The sequence below is a fragment of the Homo sapiens genome, chromosome X (assembly GCF_000001405.40).
Source record: "Homo sapiens chromosome X, GRCh38.p14 Primary Assembly".
NCBI classification, from domain to species: domain Eukaryota; kingdom Metazoa; phylum Chordata; class Mammalia; order Primates; family Hominidae; genus Homo; species Homo sapiens.
This window is the reverse complement of record NC_000023.11, coordinates 75,189,132-75,207,579: the sequence shown is the minus strand read 5'-3', so window position 1 is coordinate 75,207,579 and position 18,448 is coordinate 75,189,132. Positions and strand designations below refer to the sequence as shown.

The window sequence follows — 18,448 nt, the reverse complement described above, 5'->3', positions numbered from 1 at the left end:
ATCACCTTCCAGAGATGTAAAGCTCTCAAGCTAGCCACCCTCCTACCTGTAAACACTTCCAGCTCTGAGCTCTATTGCTCCTGCCTGAACCTCTTGAACTCCCTTTCCTCCCACTTCCAAAACAACTCGGAAGCTCCTTTGCAGGGAAACACCTACATGGTTCATTAATGGAAGCTCTTTTAGGGAGCCATGGCTATACTATCATTGCTGAAAATAAACTCCAAGAATCCAATGCTCTTTCACCCCATAATACCTCTCAACAGGCAGAATTACCTCTCAACAGGCAGAACTACCTGTAAACAGGCAAAGATAGTTGCCCTAACCAGGTCCCTCATCCTACTAAAGGGAGTGTTAACATTTACATCAATTCCAAATAAGCATTTCACATCCTACACTCTCACACCTTAATCTGACAGGAAAGGGGTTTTCTAACTACAAAAGGAACACCCATAGAAAATGGCAAACTCATACACAGGCTGCTGGAGGCAGCTAAACTACAACTACAGGCTGCCATTATCCATTGTAAGGGATACCAAAAGGCTACAAATGCCATAACCAAGGAAAAGGTTTTAGCAAATTTGGCAGCCCAGCAGGCAGCTCTTAAAACCCCATCATTGGCCAAGTGTGGTGGCTCACGCCTGTAATCTCAACACTTTGGGAGGCCAAGGCGGGCAGATCACGAGGTCAGGAGATCGAGACCATCCTAGCTAACACGGTGAAACCCCATCTCTACTAAAAATACAAAAAATTAGCCAGGCATGGTGGTGGGCACCTGTAGTCCCAGCTACGTGGGAGGCTGAGACAGGAGAATGGCATGAACCCAGGAGGTGGAGGTTGCAGTGAGCCAAAATCATGCCACTGCACTCCAGTCTGGGCAACAGAGCAAGACTCCATCTCAAAAAAAAAATCATTATTGCCCATTTTTCCCAGCATACTCCCTGTATATACCCAGGCAAAACAAACCTCACTCACCCAGGCTGGCACGGTTCAGGAAGGAAAATAGTTCTACCTCAATGATAAAATTTTTTCACAAGTCCCAGAAACCTTCTGTACTTTCATATGTGCACAACCATTTTTATGCCGGTTATTGGCCCCTACTCCAGCTCTTAAAAACTTGTATAGATTCTCCCACCATGGCTGCCAATCTCAAAGATATTACTAAGGCATGTCCCCTTTGCACTCAAACTTACCCTCAGGAAATTATCAAATGACCTCCTTTCCCCACACATCAGGCCCGAGGGCACCTGGCAGGGCAGCACTGGCAGATCGACTTCACCAACATGCACCCCGTAAAACAAGTTTGGTACCTTCTAACAATAGTAGATACATTCTCTGGATGGATAGAAGCTTTCCCTACCACCACCGAAAAGGCACACACTGTCACTTCTATTCTCCTCACCCCATATTATCCCCCAGTTTAAACTCCCCTCTTCCATCCAGTAGACAACGGGTCAACATTTGTTTCACAGGTTAACCAACAGCTGGCAAAGGCTGTAAACATTAAATGAGCTTTTCATATTCCTTACTCCACCCAATCTTTAGGTAAAATTAAATGGGCCAATGCCCTTTTAAAACAACAACTAACCAAACTCTCCTTAGAGGTTAACATGGTCTGGACTTCACTTCTCCCATTGGCCCTCATGCGTTTGCGAGCCATTCCCCAAAAGCCCCTCAGCCTAAGCCCATTTAAACTCATGTACAAATGCCATTTTATCCTCCAGAATCTCCCTGTATCTGCTCCCCCTTATGTACAGGATACTTGGCTGGCATTACACCTCACTCAACATCTAATAAGACAGCACGCAAATGCTTACTTGCCCCAGTCTAAAAGTCCATCCTCCAAACACTCCTCCCTGTCCCTACAACCAGAGAGCTGCATCTGGATTGCAGGCTGCTCCTCCTAACCTCTCCAACCTAAATGGATGGGTCCTAACCAGGTTATCTTAACTACTCCCACAGTGGCAAAAGCTAATGTCCCTTCCACACTGGATACACCATTCCAAGCTAAAAAGAGCACAAGATCCACATCCAGAAATTTTCTCACCCCCAAAATATTCTTCCTTCTTCACAGGACCAACCTCATTGTGCTTAACAAGAGTTCCAGAAGTTGCCAATCCAGAAGGCCCTGGTCCATAACACTCTCTGCCTCTAATTTCAAATCTTCTCTTTTTTTTTTTTTTTTTTTTTTTTTTTTTTGAGACGGAGTCTCGCTCTGTCGCCCAGGCCGGACTGCGGACTGCAGACTGCAGTGGCGCAATCTCGGCTCACTGCAAGTTCCGCTTCCCGGGTTCACGCCATTCTCCTGCCTCAGCCTCCCGAGTAGCCGGGACTACAGGCGCCCGCCACCGCGCCCGGCTAATTTTTTGTATTTTTAGTAGAGACGGGGTTTCACCTTGTTAGCCAGGATGGTCTCGATCTCCTGACCTCATGATCCACCCGCCTCGGCCTCCCAAAGTGCTGGGATTACAGGCGTGAGCCACCGCGCCCGGCCCAAATCTTCTCTTATACCTTGTTTCAGATCTTTCCTGGTATTCCCTCCCCACATCCCTAGGCAGTCCACACACATTCTTCACATTAATCCAGGATCTATGGCTGCAGGACACCTTCCAAAATTTCACTCCTACTCAAATCTCCTTTTTCTCCTTGTGTCCTCTTTGTCCGTGGGATACTCTAAGTCCCCACCCACAACCTCTGAGAGCTGGACCCCCTTCGTCAACCTCACACATTGCCTCTTAAATCAGTCACACTCCCCTCTTTCTTCCAACTGTTAAACACCTCTTACTAACCCCTCCCCTCTCTGCTGGCGCAGCTCTCCGTGTAGCCAAATCAAGGGCTCTCCTTGGAAAAAATGCACAAACAGTTCTCTCAACTGCAACCTATATCCTTCTGCCCTATCAGAACCGCAATGGCTATTAGTTAACAAAAATCCATTTCTCTATCTCTCTCCAAAACCAAACAACCTTCACCTCCACCCCCACCAACATTCCCTATCAGGCCCTCACAGGGGTTACCCTTGTTAACAGCTATTCAACCTAGAAAAACAAAAAAGTTGGGACAAAAAGTTTGTCCAGGATTCAACCCCCATCTTCTCATGGCTCACTGCCTTCACTTACAACTCTTGCCTGTCAACCCCTGGTCTTTTTTCCTGTGTGGCAAAAAAGCTTATCTTTGCCTGCTGGCAGGTGAGTTAAGAACATACACTCTGGTGTTTTAATCTCCAAACATTAACATTTTGCCTAACAACCAAACCATTCAGGTTCCTTTAGTAATCCCTATTTCCTCCTCCTCCACATATACCCAACAGCCTGTACACTTAATTCCCCTGTTAGCAGAACTAAACATCTCTGCTGCACTCAGCACCGGGATAGCAGGTTGCCCCTTTCTTAGGGTCCCTAATCTTCCTCCTCCTAATACTAATAATTGGCCCATGTATACTCATCTTCATATCCTGCTTTATCTCCCGAAGGCTGAACTCCCTTGTCCAGGCAACCACCCAGAAACACATTGATACCATCCTTCTCCACCAAGTCCAGTATCAGTGCCTCCAGGAAAACAACTCTGAAGTCGGACACCCACTGCTTAAAAACCCAAACCCTGATTACAGGGCCCCTATTCAGCAGGAAGCAACCAGATAATCAACAACACCCCTCTTCCTTTTATATTAAAATAGAAGGCAAGAATATTAGTCCAAACTGCACCATTTTGTAAGTCCCCCCACCATTTTGCAGACCTTGGTCAAAGTGAAACATCCCACTGGATATTTGGGCCATGAGAAACAGCCTGCCTCTTATCATATTCTGCTGGGAAAAAGTGCAAGAAACACCACATTCCAACAGAACAAGGGCCAGAACAGCCTCATCATGGGAACACATTATCAACATTTTCCAGGCAGCAGCCCATGCCCCCCCAGACCCTGCCCATCCAGGCCTATAAATTGTCCAAGCCTGTAAACAGTGGTGGCACTGGCATTAAGCTGGTCTCCCACTTCTGTAGGCCTTACGCTGGACATAAAGCCTGCATTTGCTGTTAAGCTACCGTGTGTGTGTGTGTGTGTGTGTGTGTGAGTGTGTGTGTGTGTGTGTGTGTGTGTGTGTGTGTCTTTAACCCTTGCCTTCTCTTCAAACCCTAACATGGTCCACCTGATCCAGAGCTGAGTTCAAGTCCTGAATATCCTTGTTAATTTTCTGTCTCATTGATCTGTCTAATATTGACAATGGGGTGTTAAAGTCTCCGACTATTATTGTATGGGAGTCTGAGTCTCTTTGTAGGTCTCTAAGAACTTGTTTTATGAATCTGGGTGCTCCTGTATTGGGTGTTTATATATTTAGGATTGTCAGCTCTTCTTGCTGAATTGATTCCTTTACCATTATGTAAGGCCCTTCTTTGTCTTTTTTGATCTTTGTTGGTTTAAAGTCTGTTTTGTCAGAAACTAGGATTGCAACCCCTGCTTTTTTCTGCTTTCCATTTGCTTGGTTAATTTTTCTTCATCCCTTTATTTTGAGGCTATGTGTCTTTGCATGTGAGATGGGTCTCTTGAATACAGTACACTGATGGGTCTTGACTTTTTATCCAGTTTGCCAGTCTGAGTCTTTTAATTGGGGCATTCAGTCCATTTACATTTAAGGTTATTGTTATGTGTAAATTTGATCCTGTCATCATGATGCTAGCTGGTTATTTTGCAAACTAGTTGATACAGTCTCTTCATAGTGTCATTGGTCTTTGTACTTTAATGTGTTTTTTCAGTGGCTGGTACCAGTTTTTCCTTTCCATGAAAATATGGAATGCTTCACAAATTTGCATGTCATCCTTGCACAATGGACATGCTAATCTTCTCTGTATCTTTCCAATTTTAGTATATGTGCTGCCAAAGTGACCACTTAAAGTGATTATTGATATGATTGGGCTAATATCTACAATGTTTGCTGCTGTTTTCTATTTGTTGCCCTTGTTTTTTGCTTCTATTTTTATCTTCCATGTTCTTTTGCATCTTGTGGTTTTAACTGAGAATTTTACATGATTCCATTTTCTCTGACATAAAACATATCAGTTATAATTATTTTTTTCTCCTTTTTTATTTATTCAATTGAGTTTGCAATATAGATTTAAAACTAATCCAAGTTCATTTTCTTTTCTTTTTTAAAATAGAGACAGGGTCCCTCTATGCTGTCCAGGCTGTGTCTCCAAATCCTGGGCTAAAGGGATCCTCTTGCCTTAGACTCCCAAAGTGCTAGAATTACAGGCATGAGCCAGCACGCCGGGCACAAGTTCACTGTCAAGTAACACTGTACCACTTCATGGATAGTGTGAGTTCCTTATAATAATAAAAGAATCTTAGTATCTCCCTCCCTTCCCTTCTATAATTGCTGTCATTCATTTCACTTATATATAAACATATATATTTAAACATATATATGAACATATTGATATTATTTTTAGCAAACTTAACTGTTAGATTAAGTGTAAGAAAATAAAAGTTTTAATTTTACCTTCACTTATTGATTTTCCCATGGTCTTCCTTTTGTTATGTGAATCCAAGTGCCTAACCTATAATTTTCATTTTTCTGAAGAACTTCTTTTAACAGTTGTTTTCCCCCCAAGAGGTTTAAAGTTTTTATTTTTACAAATCACAGCTGATGGAGAGCAAAGCCTTCACCTATAGAGACCATGCTCCAACTAAGGCCTAGGGCATTGCTCTAGGAGAAGAGTTGTTCCCAGGAAATGGGACGACAACAGGCAGGAACGTGCAAAGTCCAGAGTCCAGGGTGGAGAGGGGTCAGGGCCCAAGGACCTCAGCTAGAGCAGCCCTGGCAGCCACAGTGCATGCACTCAATGATGCAGCCCACTTCTATCTTTGTTTTAGGAACACAGCAATTGCAGTTTGTCCCAAAATTGGTGTTCCATGTCTGAAGGCACAGCAGCCAGCACAAGTTCTCATAGCCTTGCTTTTTCCATATTGTGATTAGGTTTTTTCCTGCATAGCCTTCTTTAATACAATATTCATAGAGTGCTCTGGTTATGACTTTCCACTTATAAACAAAGTCAACGATATGGTATATTTTCTGGTGGTAGATCCTGAAGATGGGCAACAGAGATTCCACTTTCCACTTTCCTTGAGCATCCTCAATGTTCCAGGCACTATGATACCTCCAGGAATACAGCAGTCAATACAACACTATTTCTGTCTTCAAGAAACTTGCAGTTTATTGAAGTTCACAGTCATAAACACAAATAATTATGATATAAGGAATTTTGAAACAGGTGCCATAAAAGAAGTCCAAGTAGTCTGCTAGGGGAGCAGAAAGAGAGGAACAAATTACTTTCTAGTGAAGCAAATAGGATTGACTTTATTAAAAAGCTGATATTTTAGTTGGGTTCTAAAGGGTAAGCATTTTAGTGACTGAGAGAACAAATGCAAAGACATTACAGGCTTAAGAACTGCAGGAGACAAAGGTCAGAAGATGTGAAATGGACTGACCTAGCTCCAAATAGAAATTACAGGAATTTAGGATAAGTGGAGGATCTTGTAGATGATGACTCGAGCAAGGCCAGATCATGGAACACTTGAAAAGCATGTTAAATATTTGGACTTAAATCTATAGGCAGATTGGTTTTTTGTTTGTTTGTTTTGTTTGTGAAACAGGGTCTCACTATTTCACCCAGGCTGGAGTGCAGCGGAATGATCATAGCTCACTGCAGCCTTGATCTCCCAGGCTCAAGCAATCCTCCCACCTCAGTGCCTGCTGAGTAGCTAGAACTACAGGCATTAGCCACCACATCTGGCTAATTTTTTTGTTTTTTATCTATTGTAGAGACAGGAACTCACTATGTTTTCTAGGCTGGGCTCTGGCAATCCGCCCGCCTCAGCCTCCCAAAGTGCTGCGATTACAGGCATAAGCCAATGCTCCTGGCCTATATGCAGAGTTTTGGAAGAAAAAAAAAAGAATGATGTGACTCAAACTCTGTTTATAAAGAATAATTTTCTTTTTGAGACAGGGTCTCACTCTGTTGCCAAGGCTGGGGTGCGGTGACGCAATCTTGGCTCACTGCAATCTCCGGCTCTTGGGTTCAAGTGATTCTCATGCCTCAGTCTCCTGAGTAGCTGGGACTACAGTCTCCACCACCATGCCTGGCTAACTTTTGCATTTTTTGGTAGAGACCAGGTTTCACCATGTTGGCCAGGCTGGTCTCAAACTCCAGACCTCAAGTGCTCCTCTCGTCTTGGCCTCCCAAAGTGCTGGGATTACAGGCAAGAGCCACCATGCCCAGCCAAAAAAGAATAATTCTGACAGCAATATGTACCTTGTAGCACAGGATAACAAGACTAGAAGCAGGAAGAAGCTATTACAAAAGTCCAGATGAGAGATAATGATTATCGGGCCTAGGACAATAGCAGTGGAGATGGAAGAAAGGAACTAGATCATAAAGATACTGTGGAAGCAGAAAGAACGCAATAGGAAAGTTAGTGTTGCTGGTAAGGGAAAAGAAGAAAACAAGGAATTTCATCTGAGTGACTGGTTGAACCACCATTAGTAAAAGTAGGGAATAAAGAGGAGAAACAAGTTTGGGAGGTGGAAAGATATGAACAGACACTTCTCAAAAGAAGACATTTATGCAGCCAACAAACATGACAAAAAGCTAATCATCACTGGTCACTAGAGAAATGCAGATGAAAACAACAGATGCTGGGGAGGATGTGGAGAAATAGGAACGCTTTTACACTGTTGGTGACGGGTTGAAGGGTGCAGCAAACCATTATGGCACGTGTATACCTATGTAACAAACCTGCACATTCTGCCCATGTATCTCAGAACTTAAAGTATAATAATAAAAAAAAATTTTTTTTAAAGAATTGCGGACCCCAAGAGCCCACTTGGTGCTCTACACCCCTGTGGCTGAGCTGGTACCTGCAGTGCAAGACAAAGTCCCCTTTATTTTCCCTCTGTTTTTCTCAACCAGAAGGAGTCTTTCCCTGTAGTTACCACAGCTGGGAATGTGCTGAGTCTCCCCTGCAGCAAGCAAGTCTCAGAGTCTCACCGAAGGCCCACAGTGTACTATCTGAGTATTGCTGCTGATTATTCAGTGACCAAGGGCTCTTTAGTCAACAGGTGATGAGTCCTGCCAGGACTGGGTCTTTCCCTTCAAAGCATCATGTTCCCTTCTGTCCCAGGATATATCTAGATATATCCAGGAGCTAGGGCTTCGAATGGGGGCCTCATGACTCTGACTGATGGCTTACCCTACTTGGATATCTAAGATGCAAGACAAAGTCATCTTTACTCTTCCTTCTCTCCTCAAGTGGAAGGAAGGGGTCTCTTTTGGAGCCACAAGCTGTGCAGCCTGGGGTTTGCGGACAGCTGGTGCAAGCACTTTCTTAGCCTCCCTGGCTTGTGTATCAGTATGTTGCATGCCCACCGTGTCCTCTGGCTATAAGCCTAGCTCAGCACTAGGACTTGCCTAGGAGTTGCAGTCCTTGTGGCACAGACTGCCTTTCAAGTTTATTTAGAGCCCCAGAGCACTTTAGCCCATGGTGGTGAGGTTTGCTGTAAATCCAGTTCTGATCACTGGGATGTGTGAATCCCCTCAAGGCAGGGCTGGCCTATATGCTTCTTCTGTGGACAGGCTAGGGCTGAGTTTAGCCCTGTTTTGCTTTCTGCTGTGATAGGGCACCACTAGGTTCAATACAATCTCATAGTCACTGCGCTCTCCTTCTCCCAAGTGCAGAGATTCTCTCTTCGTGCCACAGAGCTGCTGCTGGGGGATGGGGTTGGGGTGGCATTGGTGATTCCAGACTGTCTTTCCTACACTCTTCAGTTCCTCTTTCAGTGATATAAACTAAAAACCACATACTGGGTGCTCACCTATCTGCATATATGATAGAACATATGTGCATATGTTCTGCATTTTTATCATTTCTTCAGGTTTATCTTCTAGTTTATCAATTTTTCTCTATCAAAAGTGCTACCAGTTCTAATAAAATTGTAAAGCTTTTTATTATGAAAAATTTTAAATGTGTACAAAGTAAACAAAATAGTAAAATGGATGCCCATAAACTTATCACCCAGCTATAACAACTTTGATACTTCTGCCATTCTTGTTTTATCTATACTGGCTCCCTGCCCCACCCTCAATTTGATTATTACTTTCATAGATATTTTAAAGTAAAATGTACCTGCACTGAATTACACTAATCTTAATTGCATACTTTTGGAAAATACCATGCAACTTATACCCCTATCGAGCTATTTGACATTTTCATATCCCCAGAAATCTTCCTTATGCTACTTTCCAGTCTCTCACTGGCAGCTTTAGAACTCCATATAAAATGGTATAATACAGTATGTCTAGCTTCTTTCACTCAACATAACGTCTGGGAGATGCCTCCATATTGTTTAAATATCAGTAATTCAGTCCCTTCTATAGCTGGGTAGTATTTTATTGTGTGAATATACCACAATTTTTTTATGCAGTTTATGCATTCTCCTGTTGATAAACATTTGATGTGTTTCCAATTTGGAGCTATTATGAATGAAGCTGCTGTAAGCAGTCTTCTAAAACTTTTAGTGGACATATTTTTTGTTGTCATTTCTTTTTGATAAATACCTAGGAGTGCAATTGCTGGATCAAAGTAGGTTTATGCTTGCCTTTATAAGAAACTGCCAAAATTCACTTCAAAGTTCTTGAACCATCTAACATTCCAATCAGAAATGTGTGAAGGTTTTGGTGGCTCCAGCTCCTTTCCAGTACTTGGTATTTTTAGTCTTTTCAATTTTAGCCAGTCTAGTGTATATTAATTCATATCTCATTATGTTTTTCATTTGCTTTTCTCTGAAGACTAATTATTTTGATCACTTTTTCATGTCTTATTGGGCTTCTATAGAGCATCTGTTAAGTTTCTTGTCCATTCATTATTGGAGGATATTTCCCATTTATTATCTAGTTTTAGAAGTGTTTATATAGGATACAAGTCTTATGTCTGATATATGTTTTAATTATTGCAGTTTTATTTCTGGAAATTTTTTGGATTACTTTTGGAAACATCTTGAATATGTCTTATACTCCCTAGATCTTTATTCATATTTCAATTGTTTTATTTTTTAAACATTGTAAATATTATCATTTCAAATTCTGTGTTTGATCATTCTAATATCTAAAATCCTCACGAATATGATTCTGTTGCCTGTATTTTCTGATAACTTTTATTCATGTTGTCTTGTGTATTTAAATGTTTTGTAACTTTTAACTGTGAATTCATAATTCTTGGAGCTTAATCTGTGTTGATTCTTTAAGTCATAGGATGAAGCGGGTTTCTCCAGAGAAATTTGTGTTTGCCACCGCAAACCAAAATTCTTGGTTTCAGGTACTTTAAATGATTAAGTATTGTAAATTTGGAGGTGGTTGCTGGCCTTTGCTTAAGAAGTCTTAAGGAGGATTATTTTTTCTTTTTCACCTTGTGCCAATATTTCAGACAATTTCCCCTGTTCAGTGAGTGGGGAGGGAGGTGGGTGTATTTCTAATTCACTGTTCTTGAAGGTATCACCAGTGGAATCTCAAATCTACAATGGGTCACTTCACTTTTTCTCTCATCCCCTAACATCCCAACGGATTGCAAAAAACGAAGCCCGATTTACTAGAAACAGCAAATTCTCTCATTGCAAAAGCTAGATCAGTATTTTACTTTCCTCCCTTAGTTTCATTCATCACTTTTATTATTATTATTATTATTATCTTTTTTTGAGAAAGAGTCTCACTTTGTCACCCAGGCTGGAGTGCAGTGGCACGATCTCGGCTCAGTGCAACCTCCACCTCCCAAGTTCAAGTGATTCTCATGCCTCAGCCTCCCGAGTGGCTGGGATTATAAGCACGTGCCACTGTGCCCAGCTAATTTGTGTATTTTTAGTAGAAACAAGGCTTTGCCATGTTGGCCAGGCTGGTCTTGAACTCCTGGCCTCAAGTGATCCACCTGCCTTGGCCTTCCAAAGTGCTGGGATTACAGGAGTGAGCCACCAACTCGGCCTCTTTCTATTATTATTTCTTAATATATTTTGAACTCACTGATGCATCTATCCATTATTATTAGTTTTCAACAAGAAAGTTTGTCAAGATATCTAATCAGTCCTAGACCACTGTATTGCTAGAAACAGGGATATAACAGTTGAGCTTTTGATCAATAATTCGTCTCAGACTTCTCATTTGTAATACTCAGATAATTAAATTTACTCATTATCAAAACATGTATTAAAAACTCATTTACCTGGGTGTGGTAGCATGTGCCTATAGTCCCAGGTACTCAGGAGGCTGAGGCAGGAGGATCACTTGAGCCCAGGAGTTCAAAGCTGCAGTGAGCTATGATCGCACCACTGCACTCCAGCCCGGGCAACAGAGTGAGACTGTCTCTTTAAAAAAAGTTTTTAATAACAAAATTTCAAAAACTCATATTCGTGGATTGGAAGTATTAACATTGTTAAGCTGGTAATATTCTACAGATTGATCCACAGACTTAATACAGTGCTTATCAAAATTCCAACGACTTTTTTTTTCAGTACGGAAAAGCTAATCCTAAAATATACATGGAATTGCAAGGGACACAGAATAGCCAAAACAATCTTGAAAAAGAACAAAGTTGGAGGACCCACATCCTAATTGTATTTTATTTTTTAAGTTTTTTCCATCACTCCAAGGTTAATTTTAAAACTTGATAGAGATAGCCAACTAGACTCAGCCAGGAGGAACATCTAGCACCAAGGGACTAGGACATTGGGAAGACTGGTGCACTCCTAGCAGATCTTCAGAGGAAGACACTGAAAGTGGGTGGAGGGAAGACACAGATCCTGGGCTGAAAGGGGAGGAAGCTGGGAACCCTGAACGGGGTTACTGCACACCAGGACTCATTCCTGGTACCCAGTGACTCCTGGGGAAGGGGTGAATTGAGCAGGCAAGGAGCAACTTTTTCTCGCCATAGGCCTCTGGATTACTGGCAGCAGGAGACCCCACGACCTTCATGGACACTTCAGCTGGCAGTGAGAACTGCTTAGAGAAGTGGCAGGGGCAGAACTCTGGCTGGTGCAGAGCTCTGAGGGTTTGGTGAGAGAGCATCTATGAGGAGCACTGCCAGGGATGCCCACCCCCCAAACCTTACATTGCTCCCCTAGGAGACTTTAGCCCTATGGGAACTGTTGGACCTGAACAGTGCAGGGCAGTCTTGCCCATGAGATGGTGCCAGTTCAACCTGAGCACCCCTTGCTCTGCTGGCCTCTCCTGGGGCCCCAGCCTGGCCACATGTGCTTGCAATGGATCCTTGGATGCCCAGGTGGGGTGACTCTTAGAGGCCCACATCATAGTTCCTGCACTGGCAAACTGTGCATGACTGGCGAAGAGCTCCAGCAGAGTGGCCCCCATGGGCACATACCAGCCCACCCATGCCATCACCCCACCACACCATCCCCCATGCCACTTTACCTACACACACTTGCCCACGGCCACCTCCTACACTGCTTAGCTGGTGTCTGTGTGTAGGGGGGTGAAACTTTCCCCCTCCTTCACCACCAGCATGCATGTGCACATGCACCCTACCATGCCCCTGCTGCCAGTGTGAGTGCACCGTGCCCCCCGCCATGCTGCCATTGCCATCAGAGTGTCCAAGGGCATGGAAACTGCCAGCCACACACCCACCAGCTCCCCACCCCCATACTGACACTGCTGCTTGCACAAAACTAGGCATGCAGGCCAATGTCCCCACCCATGCACTGTGCGGCTACTGCTGCCTGCATGAACGTGCACAAAGAGGACTCTGGTCAAGCACCTGCCAGCACCTTGGCCCTACACAAACACTTTTGTTGGTGAGAAACTATGCACGGAGACCATCAGACCCACCCCTACTCTGAGCAGGCACCATCACCCGTGTAAAAACATGCTCAAAGGGCACTCATAGTCCCATGCCTACCAGCATGTCAACCCCAAACTAACACCACCATCAGTGCAAATGTGCATAGAGACTCCAGTGGGACATCCTGCCCCCCTACAAAATACTTCAACCACCACCCCTGAAAACACCTTCATGGAGGATGGCACCCCTGAACCCACCAGGACTCTTGACACAGCTGAGGAGCATGCACCCTGCTGTGCTGCCTCTGTTGTTGGCATGTGCAAATGAGGACAGATCCAGGTACCGCCACCCTACAAAGCACTCTGGCTGACATCACCCATCAGAGTGTTGTCACCAGCATTCTGAGAACACTTTGGCCTCTCTAGTGCAGCAGGTTCCAAACCTCAAGGGGCCAGAGAAAAAAGCCAGGGGCATGATACCCACTCCTAAGAGTTAGAGCATGCAATTCAGGAATCCTGAGCTGAGCCTTTGGCCCTGAAAATCTTTCAGAAATGAAGCCAGCTGACAGAACCCACCTTATACCACAACCAAACTCCCAAGGACATCAAATAGGATAAAAGAGAAAAAACTCAACCAAAGCACAGCAACTTCTAAGATTAAAGGAAACATTAGCCCACAAAGGTGAGAAAGAACCAGCACAAGAACTCTGGCAACTCAAAAAGCCAGAGTGTCTTCTTACCTCCAAATGACCATACTACTTCCCCAGAAATAGTTCTTAACCAGGTGGAGATGGCTGAAATTACAGGAATAAAATTCAGAATATGGACAGTAACAAAGATCATTGACATACAGGAGAGAAAGTCAAAACCTAATCCAAGGAATCTAGGGATTATAATAAAATGATACAGAAGCTGATAGATGAAATGGCAATTATAAGAAAGAACCTCACAGATATGATAGAGTTGAAAAACACACTACAAGAATTTCATGATGCAATTTCAATTATTAACAGAATAATTGACCAAGCTGAGAAAAGAATCTGAGGGTTTGGAGACTGGCTCTCTGAAGTAACTGAGTCACAGAAAAATAAAGAAAAAAACAATAACAAAGAATGAACAAAACCTCCAAGAATAATAAAATAATGTAAAGAGACCCAATCTATGACTCACTGGCATACCTGAGAGGGAGAGAAACCAAGGAACTTGGAAAACATATTTTAGGATATCATCCATGAACCTCACTAGAGAGGCCAAAATCTAAATTCAGGAAATGCAGAGAAGCCCTGCAAAATACTACACAAGAAGACCATCCTCAAGACACATAGTCGTCAGATTCTCAAAGGCTAAAATGAAAGAAAAAATGTTAAAGATAGCTAGAGAAAAGGGACAGAAAAGCTACAAAGGGAAGGCCATCAGGCTAACAGCAGACCCATCAGCAGAAACCCTACAGAGCCAGAAGAGATTGGTGGTCTATATTCAGCATTCTTAAGAAAAGAATTTTTGACAAAGATTTCATATCTGGCCAAACTAAGCTTCATAAGTGAAAGAAAAATAAGACCCTTTTCAAACAAGCAAATACTAAAGGAATTTATTACTACCAGTACTGCCTTAAAAGAGGTCATGAAGGAGTGCTAAATATGGAAACAAAAGGCCATTACCAACAACTACAAAAACATACTTAAGTACGTAGACCAGGAAAAATATAAAGCAACCACACAAACAAGTCTGCGTAATAACCAGCTAACAATATGATGACAGAATCAAATTCACACATATCAATATTAGTACTAACCTTGAATGTAAATGGGCTTAATGCATCAAATAAAAGGCACAGAGTGGCAAGTTGGATAATGAAGCAAAACACAATGGTATGCTGTATTCAAGAGACCCATCCCCCATGCAATGATGCCCATAGGCTCAAAGTAAAGGAATGGAGAAAAATCTGCCAAGCAAACAGAAAACAGAAGAAAGAAGGGGTTGCTATTTTAATTTCAGAGAAAACAGATTTTAACTAATGAAGACCAAAAAAGACAAGGAAGGGTATTACAGAATGGTGAAGAGTTCAATTCAATGAGAACAGTTAACTACCCTAAATATATACACAGCCAACACAGGAGTATCCAGATTCATAAAGCAAGTTCTTAGAGACCTACAAAGAGATTTAGATAACCACACAATAATAGTGGGAGACTTTAACACCCCATTGACCATGTGAGACATATTATCAAGGCAGAAAACTAGCAAAGACATTCAGGACCTTAACTCAATGCTGAGACAAATAGACCTAATAGACATGTACAAAACTCTCCACCCAAAAACAACGGAATATACATTCTTCTCATCTGCACATGCCACATACTCTAAAATAGACAATACAGTTAGGAATAAAACAATCCTCAGCAAATTAAAAAAAAAACTGAAATCATGTCAATCACACTCTTGGACCACAGTGCAATAAAAATAGAAATCAATGCTAAGAAAATCAGTCAACACCAGACAATTACATAGAAATTAAACAACCTGCTTCTGAATGACTACTGGGTAAATAATGAAATTAAGGCAGAAATCAAGTTCTTTGAAACTGATAAGAAAAATACAACATACCAGAATCTCTCGGTTACAAACAAAGCAGTGTTAAGAAGGAAGGTTATACGCGGTTCCAAGATGGCCGAATAGGAACAACCCCAGTCTACAGCTCCTAGCATGAGTGACGCAGAAAACAGGTGATTTCTGCATTACCAACGGAGGTACCAGGTTCATCTCACTGGGGCATGTCAGACAGTGGGTGCAGGAGAGTGGGTGCAGCCCACCAAGCGAGAGCCAAAGCAGGGTGAGGCATCGCCTCACCCAGGAAGTGCAAGGGGTCAGGGAATTCCCTTTCCTAGCCAAGGAAAGCTGTGACACACAGCACCTGGAAAATAGGGTCACTCCCACCCTAATACGCTCTTCCAAGGGTCTTAGCAAATGGCACAGCAGCAGATTATATCCCGTGCCTGGCTTGGAGGGTCCCACGTCCATGGAGCCTCGCTCATTGCTAGCACAGCAGTCTGAGATCCAACTGCAAGGTGGCAGTGAGGCTAGGGTAGGGGCACCCACCATTGCTGAGGCTTGAGTAGGTAAACAAAGCGGCCAGGAAGCTCGAACTGGGTGGAGCCCACCACAGCTCAAGGAGGCCTGCCTGCCTCTGTAGACTTCACCTCTGGGGGCAGGGCATAGCCGAACAAAAGGCAGCAGAAACCTCTGCAGATTTAAATGTTCCTGTCTGACAGCTGTGAAGAGAGTAACAGAGTTTGAGATCTGAGAACAGACAGACTGCCTCCTCAAGTGGGTCCCTCACCCCCGAGTAGCCTAACTGGGAAGCACCCCCTAATAGGGGCAGACTGACACCTCACACGGCCGGGTACCCCTCTGAGACAAAGCTTCCAGAGGAATGATCAGGCAGCAACATTTGCTGTTCAGCAATATTCGCGTTCTGCAGCCTTCACTGCTGATAACCAGGCAAACAGGGTCTGGAGTGGACTTCCAGCAAACTCCAACAGACCTGCAGCTAAGGGTCCTGATTGTTAGAAGGAAAACTAACAAACAGAAAGGACATCCACACCAAAACCCCATCTGTACGTCGCCATCATCAAAGATCAAAGGTAGATAAAACCACAAAGATGGGGAAAGAAACAGAGCAGAAAAGCTGAAAATTCTAAAAATCAGAGGACTTCTCCCCCTCCAAAGGAACACAGCTCCTCACCAGCAACAGAGCAAAGCTGGATGGAGAATGACTTTCACAAGTTGAGAGAAGAAGGCATCAGACAACAAACCTCTCCAAGCTAAAGGAGGAAGTTCAAACCCATCACAAAGAAGATAAAAACCTTGAAAAAAAAATAGACAAATGGATAACTAGAATAACCAGTGTAGAGAAGTCCTTAAATGACCTGATGGAGCTGAAAACCATGGCATGAGAACTATGTGATGAACGCACAAGCTTCAGTAACCAATTCAATCAACTGGAAGAAAGGGTATCAGCGATGGAAGATCAAATGAATGAAATGAAGCGAGAAGAGAAGTTTAGAGAAAAAAGAGTACAAAGAAATGAACAAACCCTCCAAGAAATATGGGACTATGTGAAAAGACCAAATCTACATCTGACTGGAGTACCTGAAAGTGACAGGGAGAATGGAACCAAGTTGGAAAACACTCTGCAGGATATTCTCCACGAGAACTTCCCCAATCTAGCAAGACAGGCCAATATTCAAATTCAGGAAATACAGAAAAGTCCACAAAGATACTCCTTGAGAAGAGCAACTCCAAGACACATAATTGACAGATTCACCGAAGTTGAAATGAAGGAAAAAATGTTAAGGGCAGCCAGAGAGAAAGGTCGGGTTACCCACAAACGAAAGCCCGTCAGACTAACAGCAGATCTCTCGGCAGAAACTCTACAAGCCAGAAGAGAGTGGGGGCCAATATTCAACATTCTTAAGGAAAAGAATTTTCAACCCAGAATTTCATATCCAGCCAAACTAAGCTTCATAAGAGAAGGAGAAATAAAATACTTTACAGACAAGCAAATGCTGAGAGATTTTGTCACCACCAGGCCCACCCTACAAGAGCTCCTGAAGGAAGCACTAAACATGGAAAGGAACAACCGGTATCAGCCACTGCAAAAATATGCCAACATGTAAAGACCATCGATGCTAGGAAGAAACTACATCAACTAATGAGCAAAATAACTAGCTAACATCACAATGACAGGATCCAATGCACACATAACAATATTAACCTTAAATGTAAATGGGCTAAATGCTTCAATTGAAAGAAGCAATTGGCAAATTGGATAAAGAGTCAAGACCCATCAGAGTGCTATATGCAGGAGATGCATCTCACGTGCAGAGACACACATAGGCTCAAAATAAAGGGATGGAGGAAGATCTACCAAGAAAATGAATAAAAAAGGCAAGGGTCGCAATACTAGTCTCTGATAAAACAGACTTTAAGCCAACAAAGATCAAAAGAGATGAAGAAGGCCATTACATAATGGTAAAGGGATCAGTTCAACAAGAAGAGCTAAATATCCTAAACATATATGCACCCAATACAGGAGCACCCAGATTCATAAAGCAAGTCCTTAGAGACATGTAAAGAGACTTAGATTCCCACACAATAATAACGGGAGAGTTTAACACCCCACTGTCAACATTAGACAGTTCAACGGGACAGAAAGTTAACAAGGATCTCCAGGAATTGAACTCAGCTCTGCACCAAGCAGACTTAAGAAACATCTACAGAACTCTCCACCCCAAATCAACAGAATATACATTCTTCTCAGCACCACAACGTGATTATTCCAAAATTGACCACATAGTTGGAAGTAAAGCACTCCTCAGCAAATGTAAAAGAATAGAAATTATAACAAACTGTCTCTCAGACTACAGTGCAATCAAACTGGAACTCAGGATTAAGAAACTCACTCAAAACCGCTCAACTACATGGAAACTGAACAACCTGCTCCTGAATGACTACTGGGTACATAACAAAACAAAGGCACAAATAAAGATGTTCTTTGAAACCAATGAGAAAAAAGACACAACATACCAGAATCTCTGGAACACATTTAAAGCAATGTGTAGAGGGA

The 18,448-nt window shown here is 42.8% G+C and overlaps 1 protein-coding gene and 2 pseudogenes across 1 annotated transcript in view; all 3 read right to left on the bottom strand.

Annotated features, from left to right (window-relative positions):
• UPRT (uracil phosphoribosyltransferase homolog) overlaps positions 1 to 18,448 on the bottom strand; it is a 148,529-nt gene that overhangs the window by 97,318 nt on the left and 32,763 nt on the right. The gene's annotated exons all lie outside the window — the stretch shown is intronic.
• RNU6-562P (RNA, U6 small nuclear 562, pseudogene) lies at positions 4,771 to 4,877 on the bottom strand (annotated as a pseudogene).
• On the bottom strand, positions 5,605 to 6,110 carry BUD31P2 (BUD31 homolog pseudogene 2; annotated as a pseudogene).